Below are 13,310 nucleotides of genomic sequence, written 5' to 3' on the forward strand. Positions count from 1 at the left end.
GCTGGCACAGGCCCTCATGATTAGATGTGGGCACAATGGAGAAACGTGGCCGCTAACTCACAGCCGGATGGTTTCAAGGCTGGTGGCGCCATGGCACACTCATGGGCCAAGTCACAGGTTGAGAAACTTGCGGGTGGAGTTTGTCCCTTCATCTCATCCTCTTCAGTATATTCTGTTGCCAACTTGAATGAAGATACAGAAAGTATAAGATAAAAGAGAGATGACAGAAGTGAGACCTCCAAAAATCTTTGTTGACTTGAAGAAGAGATGGAAATCAGGATAACATGTAATAGTAAAGAAAATGAGAAGTCCTATAGCTAGGTTAAAAAGAAAGTTTCAACGTGATGGAGAGCCAGAAGTCCCAGGCCTTTCTGTTGACAGAAAACATAATGTGGGTCAACAGTAAGTCATTGTTGCTTCCCACAATTAATTCCATCTTAATATATACATTAAAATATAATATATTAACATACATGGGGTATACAGAGTTGGGGGGGATGAGTTGCACTGTTTGGGCCACTTCTGGGTCCTGTGTCTTGAAGTTCTGGAATGCTTTCAGAGGCAGGGAACAGGACGGTGAAGAGCTTAGAAATAATTGCAGAAGTCTCAGAGTTCCACCCTGACTGAGTGTGGTTTGTGTGAAAAGACAGGGCAGACGGCACGAGGGCTGTCTTCCATATTGGAAGGGCTGAAGTGCGCACGTGAATTAGACTTACATTTTGGCTTCTGGGGTCAGAAGTGGACCAATGAGCAAATGACAGGGAGGTTTGTGCACAGCCCAGAGAAGAGCTTCATTCCAGAGCTGTTGTTGTGTTGTAGTAGTCACCTCCTTGCCACTGGAAATCAGTGTTGCTGGAATCAAAGTGGAGCCTGGATGACCAACTATTAGAGATGGTGGAGACCAAAGAACTTTCCCTAAGTGAGGAAGGAGGCATTCCACCATACCCTGGTCCCAGGTGTACATATCATGTACACTCTGTTCATGTGGTCTCACACTGTCCTCTAACACAGCTCTTGTACCCTGTGTCATAACTGCACATACAGTAGTGTCACCTGGATATCACCCGAGGCTTTCCTTCCCCTTAGAGATCTCACTACGCTTGACCTGAATCCCCAGTTGCGTTGATAGCCTTGAGCCCTCCCATGGTTCCTGTGATTCTGGGGCTTTTTCTCTTGGTCTCTGTGTCCCTTCTCTTCCCTGGTAATCTGGATATGAAACCCATGAGAAAGGCCTGTGGTTGTTCCGAGGAGAATTATGACCTCAGAGGGTTTATGTGGAACCAAGGGACGGTTGAGGCTGGAAATGCAGCATAGAGTCCTGTCTTGGATGGCTCCATTGTCAGAGTCCTGGCAAGAAACAGATGTAATACTCCATCTGGATCATTTGGAGTATAACATCTCCATCTCCCTTAACATAGTAAATGCAGTGTTTACAAAGGCATGGGCAGAGTTAGGAGCTGTGGGCCGGGCCTGGTGGCTCATGCTTGTAATCACAGCATGTTGGGAGGTTGAGGCAAGAGAGGATTGTGTGAGCCCAGGAGTTTGGGACCAGCCTCTGCAACACAGTGAGACCTCGACCTCATCTTTACAAAAACTAAACAAAATTAGCCATGCATGATGGCATGTGCCTGTAGTCCCAGCTACTTGGGAGGCTGAGGTGGGAGGATCACTTCAGCCCAGGAGGTCGAAGCTGCAGTGAGCTGTGATTGCACCACTGCAGTCCAGCCTGGGCAACAGAATGAGACTCTGTCTCAAATAAGATAAAATAAAAATAAAAATAATGATGGAGAGCTGTGGCAGGCAGTGCAATGGGCTCCCAAAGTCCCCAGGTTCAAATCACCTGTTCTTGTGAATATGCTAATTTACATGATAAAAGAGACTTTGCAGATATGGTCAAGTTAGGGATCTTCATGGAGGGAGATTATCCTGGATTATCCAGGTGGCTCAATGCAGTCACAAGTCCTTGTAACTGGGAGGCTGTAAGGTCAGAGATGGCAAAGGGATGTGACCACAGAAGCCGAGGCCAGATGACGCGGGGACATGAACCAAGGAATGAGGACAGCTTCTAGAAACTGAGAAAGACAAAAAATGAATTCTTCCCTAGAACCTCCAGAAGCAATGGAGCCCTGCCAACCCATTTTAGATTTTTTTTTTTTTTTTTTTTTTTTTTTTTTTAGAGACAGAGTCTCTCTCCGTCCCCCAGGCTGGAGTGCAGTGGTGAGATCTTGGCTCACTGGTAACCTCTGCCTCCTGGTGGGCGCCACCATGTCTGTCTAATTTTTGTATTTTTAGTAGAGATGGGGTTTCACCATGTTGGCCAGCCTGGGCTCGAACTCCTGACCTCAGGTGATCCTCCCGCCTTGGCCTCCCAAAGTGTTGGGATTATAGGCACGGTGAGCCACCGTGCCCGGCCCCATTTCAGACTTCTGACCTATAGAACTATAAAATAACACATTTGTCTTGTTTTAAGGCCACAAATGTGAGGTAGTTTCTTATAGCAGCAATAGGAAGCGGATGCAGGGGGATTCACAGCCCTTACGCATAAAGCAGCAGCAAGGGGAGGTGGGTGTGACCGGATCCCAGGGAGGCTGCATGGACAGTCAACTGACACCCAGCTCTCCTGTGGCCTGGCAGAGAGATGTCAGTTGGAATAAACACTCTGTCCTCACCCTGCCTCATGCTCCAATCTTCCTGTCTTCCTTCTACAGGCCAGGCCTAGCCAGAAGCTACAGGCAAGGAACCCACAGATGCAGTTCAGCAGGTCCACCTCCCAGGCCACAAAGAAGACAAAGTAGGGTGGAAAATGAATTAGAAGTGGAAAAGGGTTGACTTAGAGGGGGTGATGCTTAGAGAAGCCTTTAATTGAGCTGGGCTTTGGAGGGAAAGAGTTTACCAGGCAGACAAGTCAGGGAAGGGCATTCTAGACAATGAGACCAGCACATACAACAGAGGCATGAAGTAGGCGACCCATTCAGGGAGCTGCACGTGATTTGGCGTGGCTGGAACAGAGGACGCATGTGGCTCTCGATGAGAGGCTTTGGGAGCACTGGCCTGTTGCCATGGCAGTGAGCTTGGGTGTTAGACCAGAGTTAATGGGAAGCTTCAAAATGATTCTAAAATTTATTGCAAAAATGAAAAAAGGAACTCTTGGCAAACTTCCAAATTACGCAGTTTTTTTTTTTTTTTTTTTGGATGCCCTCTCTGTGTCCATCCAAATCCCTCCTCCCATCCAAAACGAGGTAGACATAAGGGAGGAGACCACCCCTCATATTGTCTTATGCCCAATTTCCGCCTCCAAAGAAAGAAGTAAAAACTAAAAGGCAGAAATGAAATCCACAGGCAGACAGCCCGGCGCTAACCCTGGGCCTGGTAGTTAAAGATCGACCCCTGACCTAATCGGTTATGTTTTCTATAGATTACAGGCATTGTATAGAAAAGCACTGTGAAAATCCCTGTCCTGTTCTGTTCCGATCTAATTACCCATGCATGCAGCCCCCAGTCACGTACCCCCTGCTTGCTCAATCGATCACGACCCTCTCACACAGACCCCCTTAGAGTTGTAAGCCCTCAAGAGGGACGGGAATTGCTCACTCGAGGAGCTCGGTTTTTGAGACATGAGTCTTGCCGATGCTTCCGGCCGAATAAAGCCCTTCCTTGTTTAACTCAGTGTCTGAGGGGTTTTGTCTGCGGCTTGTCCTGCTGCAGACATTGTTAATGTCTGGTGGCATCTTCATTGACATATTATGTGTTTTATGATGTAACATTTCAAATCTACCAAATATAGAGAAAACAGTAAAAGGAATTATTTGCCCATTACCCAGATTCAACAGTGATCTATTGAGGAATTATAAACAGGGGAGTGATACGATTAGGAATGTGTTCTAGAAAGACCTGTGGGAAAGTTAAGTGGGTGGATTGGAGGGCCTCAGCCTAGAGGAGGGGAGATAGGTTAAGCACTTCTTGCAAATGTCCAGGCAAGCAATGCTGAGGGCTCGTGTCAGAGGGCAGGCGGTGGAGGAGAGGAGGGGGCTGATCCGGGAAAGGTGTTTAGAATTGATGGGCTATGTGTGTCTCAGTCACGAGTCTGTTTCACTAGATCTAAGATGCTATGAAGTATTTGGGTATCTGGAATCCTGCTCCACAGTATGGATTAATGAACATGTCTTATGCTTATGAAGTGGAACTCATTATTCTTGATTAAAGAACATGTTTTGGGGGATTTGTGCGGTTGGGAACCTCAGAGGAGCCTCTCAGTTTCACAAAATGCTACCCAGATGCAATGATGTCATTTATGAGGCCACGGTCCTCTTCAGGTAGGGGGCAGCTAAATTCTATTTGTTTAATAAAAGTAGATGTTTTGAATGACTTCCAGAGAGAGTTGGATTCCACAGGCAGATGGAGCTATTATCCGTGTTTTTTTCTCCCCAGTGACAGGCTGCAAGCCTGTAATTCCAGTGACTAGCAGCCCTCATTTGGGAGCTGGGATGGTTCTACAAACACCACTTCAATCCCCACCTCCTTTACTGGCTGCTGAGGCTGCTGAACTGGGGGACATCCCTTAATGAGATGCAGCAAACATAGCTCAAACCCAGCTACCTTCTTGGTATCCACTCAATTTATGGAACGCTCTCGTATCCTTGTGTGCTGCTGGGGGCAATGAAAGCTGCCTCACCACCCCTCCAGCTCCCAGGCCTCTGTTCTGTCCAAGTCTCTCTTCCCCAGCCCCAAGCAATATTTGCAAGTCTGTTGCCCCAGCAGCCATGCATAGGGGAGTGATTGACTGGCTTGCATGTTGCTGGCACTTCTGATACAGGACATTATTTCATAATGTCTATTTCAGATCCATCTGTAGTTCTCCTTTTCTCCCTGACAGTGCAGGGCGAGGCTGTGGCTACAATGGCTGCTGGTACTCTCCCTTAGCTGTCTCTGTTTCTGGAGCTTACATGGGTGTTGGGGGATAAGGGCGTGGTGGGGTGGTGGTTAGGAGTAGGCAGAGTTGCCTCCTGACTTGGCCATTCAAGAAGAGGTTTCTCTCCTCTCCCTGTGGGTTGTTGCTGCCAGGTCTCCCTGGGGCAGGCATTCCAAGCTGGCTATTCTGTGGGGCACGGGAGCAAGTCCTTTGGGACTATTTCCCCATACGCTTTCCAGACTGGAGCTTCTGGTACAGGAGACAGAAAGAAATTATTAAGCCATGCCGGGTACGGTGGCTCACACTTGTAATCCCAGCACTCTGGAAGGCCGAGGCAGGCAGATTACTTGAGATCAGGAGTTCAGCCTGGCCAACATGGTGAAACCCTGTCTCTACTAAAAATACAAAAATCAGCCGGGTGTGGTGATGGGTGCCTGTAATCTCAGCTACTTGGGAGACTGAGGCAGGAGAATCGCTTGAACCCAGAAGGCGGAGGTTGCAGTGAGCTGAGATCGCGCCACTACTGAACTCCAGCCTGTGTGACAGAGTGACACTCCGTCTCAAAAAAAAAAACAAAAACAAAAACAAGAATTATTTAGGCAGACATTGAGGGTAAAAGAGTCCTCTGCAGGACTTCCCTTTTAACAAAAATCAGCCTAAGAAATTCTTTTTTCTAATAAAGAGCAGACTGAAAAATCAAGCTGCAAACAGATAAGCAAGCTGGAAGCTTTCACAGGTGAATGCCGGCCGCTGTGCCAATAGAAAGGGCTACCTGGGGGCCAGGTATGTTCAACATGGAGGCTCCATCTTCCCTTTTATTTGTTACCACATGTACAATACAGAAATAGGCAACCTGGTGCCAGTCAGGTAGAGAGCATCTGCATAATAAAAGATTAAGGTGGAGAGTCCAGAAATTCACACACTATGCAAATGGCACACCTGGTCTGACCAATCTTTTGTTCCTATGTAAATCAGACACCGCCTCAAGCTCATCTGAAAAAAAACCCCTGCATTTCACCACGGACCCGAAACCCACTGGGGACCCATCTCTCTGCAGCAGAGAGAGCTATTCTCTTGCTTTTGCCTATTAAACGTCTGCTCTTAAACTCACTGTTTGTGTGTCTGTGTCCTAGCTTTCTGTGGCCATGAGACAACGAAATCTCAGGTATCACCCCAGATGAACGATGCTGTTCCACTTCGGGGCTTTGTGAATGATTCTCCTGGAGTCCCCACTGTGACTTACAGGAGAAGATAGGCTCTTTCCATGAATACTACTCTCCTTTCCAGGGTGTCCTTCTTTCTCCTCACCCCTTCTTTTATATTGATGCTGGGAATGGAATGAGTAGGATCAATTCTGGCCTCTTGATAAACCCTGTATGGAGGTGGCTGGCTCCAACTATTGAAACTGGAAACTAGAATATCAGGAGGATACTCAATGCCATTTGTCTTCTGAACTGGGTTCTAAAAGAAATTCATTTATTTATTTTAGACACAGGGTCTTCCTTTGTCACCCAGGCTGGAGTGCAGTGATGTGATCACAGTTTATTACAGCCTTGAACTCTGGGGCTCAAATGCTCCTTCTGCATGCTGAGTAGCTAGGACCACAGGTGCACATCACCACCCCAGACTAATTTTTTTTTTTTTACATTTTGTAGCGATGGGGGTCTCTCTATGTTGGCCAGGCTGGTCTGGAACTTTTGGCCTCAAGTGATCCTCCTGCCTCAGCCTCCCAAAGTGCCGGGATCATAGGCGTGAGCCACCGTGGCCAGCCAGCATTAGGTTTTATCCAAAGTTCTGGGAAAATAAGATAAACTCCATTCAACATCTATTGCAGTAGTTGGTTAATTACAGAGTGTGATGCTCTATTATAGTTTTTTGGGGGGCAGGTCATTAACATTTCTAGGTCTTGGTTGTCTCATCTGTGAGATGGGGGTAGTGGGTATGCCTCTAGGAAGGTAGCAGAAACTGGACCATGTCACCTCTTCAGATCTCTGTCAGGTAGAGCTTTGAGTCTATAGAGTTCATGGTTTTAGGTTTGCTTGATTTCAAGGTTTTTCTCTTCTCATCTTTGTTTCAAAAACTACATTCATATCAAAGCACTTCATAGTTCTGAAGCGCCAGACATAGAAAGAGGGACAGATCCTAGCTGGGGAAGGAGAGAGCATTTTGTTCATCCACGTGAGGGAAATGGAAGCCGAACAGTGCTCTGTGTCTAGTCTACTCCCAGTTATCAGAGGCAGGACTATTAAAACAAGTCGAGTTATTTCAAAGTTGTCAGCAAGTCTTCCTCCAATCAAAAGCCCATTTGGTTGGCAAGGCTAATGAAGGTTTATCCTAGAGACCTTGGGTATCTGGTGCAGGAAACATATTTCACAGACTCTTCCCAAAGTATTGCACTAGGTGCTGTGTGGGAGAGACAACGGTGGTGTCATAAAAGAACACTGGGTAGGCCAGGCACAGTGGCTCATGCCTATAATCCCAGCACTTTTGGAGGCTGAGGTGGGCAGATCACCTGAGGTCAGAAGTTTGAGACCAGCCTGGCCAACATATAGTGAAACCCCATCTCTACTAAAAAATAGAAAAATTAGCTGGGCATGGTGGCTCATGCCTGCAATCCTAGCTACTTGGGAAGCTGGGGCAGGAGAATCGCTTGAACCTGGGAGGCGGAGGTTGCAGTGAGCCGAGATCATGTGACTGCATTCCAGCCTGGGCGAAAGAGCGAGACTGTCTCTGAAACAACAACAACAACCCCCTCCCCCAAAAAAACCCAACACTGGGTATAGGGCTAGGCAGATTTGAGCATCTAAGACAGAGACAAAAAATGGAAAGTGGACTTAGTGAATACGAATAATAAATGTTTATGTAAAGCTTACTATGTGCCAAGCACTGCTCTAACCACATAACATGTATCAAATCATGCAAAACGCACCAACTCAATGACTCCTCATGGCAATTCTGTGACGCAGATGCTGTCATTGTGCCTATTTTACAGATGGAGGGACTGAGGCATTTTTGTATTTTTTGTAGAGGCAGGTTTCACTTTGTTGGCCAGGCTGGTCAAGGTTTAACACACAGTCCAACACAGCTAGGAAGTGGTGGGCTGGCTTCAGATTCTGTGCCCCTCACCACTGTGCTATGCTGCCTCTCTGAAGGAAGTAGGGGCTCTTTGGGATACTTTTGACATTAAGAAAGGATTAAATAGTACAATATAATGAAAACGTTTGAATACTCGTTTTAAAAGTACAAAAAAGAGAGAGCCACACAGGCACTTTTATGTGGGTCAGGAGTGACTGTTTTGTTGCACTCTTTGGCATCTGCCAAGCATGATTTCTCAGGATGTGGTGGTTGGCCGACTGCCCTTGTGGCCACTGGATTCCATTCTCTCTCTGGTTTTTCTCCCTTTCCCCCTGCCCTCTGAAACCTTCCTCTAGACTTCCCTTGCCCTTGTTCTCTTTCTAGGAGCTTGTATTATTCTTCAGAAAAACGGAACCAGTAGGAGGTACATGTCTTTCTCTCTACTGATAAATGTATATATATATGATCTCTCTGTCTCTAAATCTCTCTTTCTCTCTAGTATCTCTATCTGTCTATCTATCATCCATCTATCTATCATCTATCATCTCCATATATGCTTATATAGGTAGGTGTTTTTTGTTTTTTTTTGTGACAGAGTTTTGCTGCATTGCCCAGGCTGGTGTGCAGTGGCATGATCTCGACTCATCGCAACCTCTGCCTCCCAGGTTCAAGCGATTCTTGTGCCTCAGCCTTCTGAGTAGCTGGGGTTTCAGGTGCATGCCACAATGCCAGGCTAATTTTTGTATTTTTTGCAGAGGCATGTTTCACCATGTTGGCCAGGCTGGTCTCGACTTCCTGGCCTCAGGTGATCTGCCCGCCTTGGCCTCCCAAAGTGCTGCGATTACAGGTGTGAGCCACTGTGCCTGGCCGATATATTTTATTCTTTTAACTACTTTATTAGGTAAAGTAAAATATTTTGTTCCTTAAAATTGACCTATGTTTGGCTAGGCACAATGGCTCATGCCTGTAATCCTAGCACTTTGGGAGGCCAAGGTAGGAGGATTGCTTGAGGCTGGTAGTTAGACCAGCCTGGGCAACATAGCAAGACCCCATCTCTACAAAAAATAAAAATAAGAATAGCCCGGTGTGTGGTGTGTGCCTGTAGTCTCAGATACGCAGGAGGCTGAGGCAGGAAGATCACTTGAGTCCAGGAATTCAAAGTTGCAGTGAGCTATGATTGTACTACTGCACTCCAGCCTGGACAACAGAGTGAGACCCTGTCTCAAAAAAAAATTTTTTTTTGATCTCTCTGTATACCTTTATCTCTATTTATCTCTATCATCTATGTATGTATGTGATATGGTTTGGCTGTGTCCCCACCCAAATCTCAACTTGAATTTTATCTCCCAGAATTCCCATGTGTTATGGGAGGGACCCAGGGGGAGGTTATTGAATAATGGAGGCTGGTCTTTCCCGTGCTATCCTTGTGTAGTAAGTCTCATGAGATCTGATGGTTTTATCATGGGTTTCCGCTTTTGCTTCTTCCTCATTTTTCTGTTGCTGCTGCCACGTAAGAAGTGCCTTTCACCTCCTGCCTGATTCTGAGGCCTCCCCAGCCATGTGGAACTGTAAGTCCAATTAAACCTCTTTTTCTTACCAGTCTCAGGTATGTCTTTATCGGCAGCATGGTCTTCCCAGTCTCGAGTATGCGTTTATCAGCAGCATGAAAACAGACTAATACAGTATGTATGTAGATTTATTTTAAGAAATTAGCTTGCCGGGTGCCGTGGCTCACGCCTATAATCCCAGCACTTTGGGAGGCTGAGGCGGGTGGATCCTGAGGTCAGGAGATAGAGACCATCCTGGCTAACACCATGAAACCTCGTCTCTACTAAAAATACAAAAAATTAGCAGGGCATGGTTGCGGGCACCTGTAGTCCCAGCTACTCGGGAGGCTGAGGCAGGAGAATTGCTTGAACCTGGGAGGTGGAGCTTGCAGTGAGCCGAGATTGTGCCACTACACTCCAGTCTGGGCGACAGAGTGAGACTCTGTCTCAAAAAAAAAAAAAGAAGAAAGAAAGAAAAAAAAGAAATTGACTTATGCAACTGTGAGGGTGGCAGGTCCAAAATCTCCAGGGTAGGCTGGCAGGCTGGAGACCCAGGGAAGAGTTGATGTTGCCATCTTGAGTCCAAAGGCAGTCTAAAGGCAGAATTCCTTCTTCAGGAGATGTCACTCTGTTCTCTCAAGGCCTTCAGCTGATTGGATGAGGTATACCCACATTATGGAAGGCCTTACCCACGGTCTACTGATGTAAATGTTAATCACACCTAAAAAATACCTTCACAGCAACAACTAGACTGATGCTTGACCAAATGACTGGGTACCATGGCCTAGCCAAGTTGACACATAAAATTAACCATCATAGAACCACTTGAAGGGAGCTGAGGTTCATTTGAGCTTCTGTTAGTTTTCTGGAACACTGGGAAAGCTCTGGTACTGAGACCCCAGGGGACACAGCTTTAATTCTCTCTAAAAGGGAACTCTGTCCAAACTTTAGAGTAGTTTTTTTCCCCTCCCAAGAAATCTATCAATGCACAGAATGGACTTTGGTTGGTAAGTGTTAAGTATTGGTCTCTGGCCCTTGATCCCTAGTGCCATTTCTGGCTTCCAACAAAGGAGCTCATGCTTCATCCCACATTGTTCTCCTTCTCAAAAACGTGAACTCAGTTCTTCTTCCTATCTGAACTCCTCTAGTACCTTGTAACTGACTCTGGGCATTTAAAACTTTGGCTCCTGTATTGTAATTGATAACACATTTTCCAGCCCCTCCCACTCCTCCACCAGCAGGTAAGTTCCCTGAGGGCAAGGGCTAAGCTCACACTTCTGCCTGGCTGCTCCAGTGCCCACGACACTGCTGCTTCATAAACATTGCTCAGTGGAGACAATTTGCAACACTGATTCTCTGTGATGTTTCTTGGGCAGAAACGTGATTGGTGTCAGCCTCAATTTAAGCCTATGTAAAACAGGAAGGAGAAAACTTTACACCTACCATGGACAGAGGCTGACACCGCTTGTCTAGCTTTTGCACTGCCACGTATCTGGCGGTCAAAATAAGTCTTGCTTCTGAATTAGGCTGTGAAGATGGTTGTGCCTTTTATTTTCAGACAGATCCTTGCCCAGCTTGGGCTGAGGGCTATGCAGCATTAGGGACAGTGGGAATTTGTCTGGGGTGGGGGCAGAACTGGCAGGGAAAAGCTTTTGTAGGGGTGGGCTGCTAGACGTACTAGAGAAGCTGCCAGCTTAACTGTATTCGTTTCCTATTACTACTGCAACAAATCACACCTTCAGTGGCTTAAAACAACACAAATTTGTTATTTTTATAGTTCAGCAGGTCAGATCTGACATAGGTTTTGGTGGACTGATGTCAAGATGTCATCAAGACTGTTCCCTTCTGGGAGCTCTAGGGGAGAATCTCTTTCCTTGCCTTTTCCCGATTATAGGCACTGCTCTCATACCTTGGCTGGTGGTCTCCTCCTCCACCTTCAAAGTCAGCAAGGGCCAGTGGAGTCCTTGTGTTGCATCAGTTTGACCTCCGCTGCATTCCTCTTGTACTTTTAAAGACTCTGCCATAAATGTTACACTGGGGCTGGGTGCGCTGGCTCATGCCTGTAATCCTAGCACTTCGGGAGGCCAAGATGGGTGGATCACCTGAGGTCAGGAGTTCGACACCAGCCTGGCCAACATGACGAAACCCTGTCTCTACTAAAAATACAAAAATTAGCCGGGGGTGGTGGCAGGCATCTGTAATCCCAGCTACTGGGGAGGCTGAGGCAGGGGAATTGCTTGAACACAGGAGGCAGAGGTTGCAGTGAGCTGAGATTGCGCCATTGCACTCCAGCCTGGATGACAAGAGTAAAACTCCATCTCAAAAAAAAAAAAAAAAAGGCTGGGCGTGGTGGCTCACGCCTGTAATCCCAGCACTTAAGGCCATGAGGAGGGCAAAGCATAAGGTCAGGAGATCGAGACCATCCTGGCCAACATGGTGAAACCCCGTCTCTACTGAAAATACAAAAATTAGCTGGGCGTGGTGGCGTGTGCTTGTAGTCCCAGCTACTCGGGAGGCTGAGGCAGGAGAATCACTTGAACCTGGGACGTGGAGGTTGCAGTGAGCCGAGATCACGCCACTGCACTCCAGCCTGGCCACAGGGTGAGACTCGGTCTCAAAAAAAAAAGAAGTTACACTGGGCTCACCCAGATGGTCCTGGATAACCCCTACATCTAGAGGTGCTTAATTTAATCACATCTGCAATTTTACCTTTAACATGAAGCAACATATTCATAGGTTCCAGGAATTAGGATGTGGACATCTTTAGAGAGCTATTATTTTGCCTACCATGGTGGCCTTATGATTTCCATTTAACATAAGTGATTAGTGTAAGATATGATTTTAAATGGAAAGATGTGATAGTTTCACTTGTTTAACAATGTTAGAGTTTCTAAGAGAGTTTGAGATAAAATACATTTATGCTTAATTTGTGAAATTTGTAACTTATTTACTTGAGAATGTTTTGCTTATTAAGGCTGTAAGCTTATCTGAGCAAGTATTTGCAGTGTTTTTTCTTTTTGTTTTGTTTTGTTTTTGGGACAAAGTCTCACTCTGTCCCCAGTCTAGAGTGCAGTGACACGATCTCAGCTCACTGCAACCTCTGCCTCCCAGGTTCAAGTGATTCTCCTGCCTCAGCTTCCCGAGTAGCTGGGACTACAGGTGTGCACCACCACACCCAGCTAATTTTTCTATTTTTAGTAGAGAGGGGGGTTTCACCATGTTGGCCAGGTTGGTCTCGATCTCTTGATCTCATGATCCGCCCGCCTCGGCCTCCCAGAGTGCTGGGATTACAGGCGTGAGCCACTGCGCTCAGCCTGCAGTGTTTTTTTAAAAAGCAAATGCATTCAATTTATAATTGAAGTGCTTAAAAATCAAATGTATCAGATTTATAATTGCAGCTTTAAAATGTTTAAAGGATTTTTTTATTAAGTTTGTAAAAGAGAATTACTTTTTAGTGGGACTGTGATCTATTAAATTTGAGTTTATTAAGAGTAATAAAAGATCCTATTATTTTGTATTAAAATTTACTAGGCTTGTAAATATCAAGATTTGTTAGTGGAATTTAAAGGCAACTTTAATGAAAACTGGGTCTCTGTATTTGTTACTTTATCAACAGACATTAATTTTAAATCAAAAAGCTGTAAATAATTCTGTCTATGACATAAACTCATGCCAATTTTTGTTCTAGTTAAGTGTGGGTATATGGTCCTAAGACTTTCAAAAGCATTTTTTGAATGTATATATCGTGGTCCCCAACCTTTTTGGTACCAGGGACTGGT

The sequence above is a fragment of the Homo sapiens genome, chromosome 8 (assembly GCF_000001405.40).
Source record: "Homo sapiens chromosome 8, GRCh38.p14 Primary Assembly".
In the NCBI taxonomy this organism is placed as follows: Eukaryota; Metazoa; Chordata; class Mammalia; order Primates; family Hominidae; genus Homo; species Homo sapiens.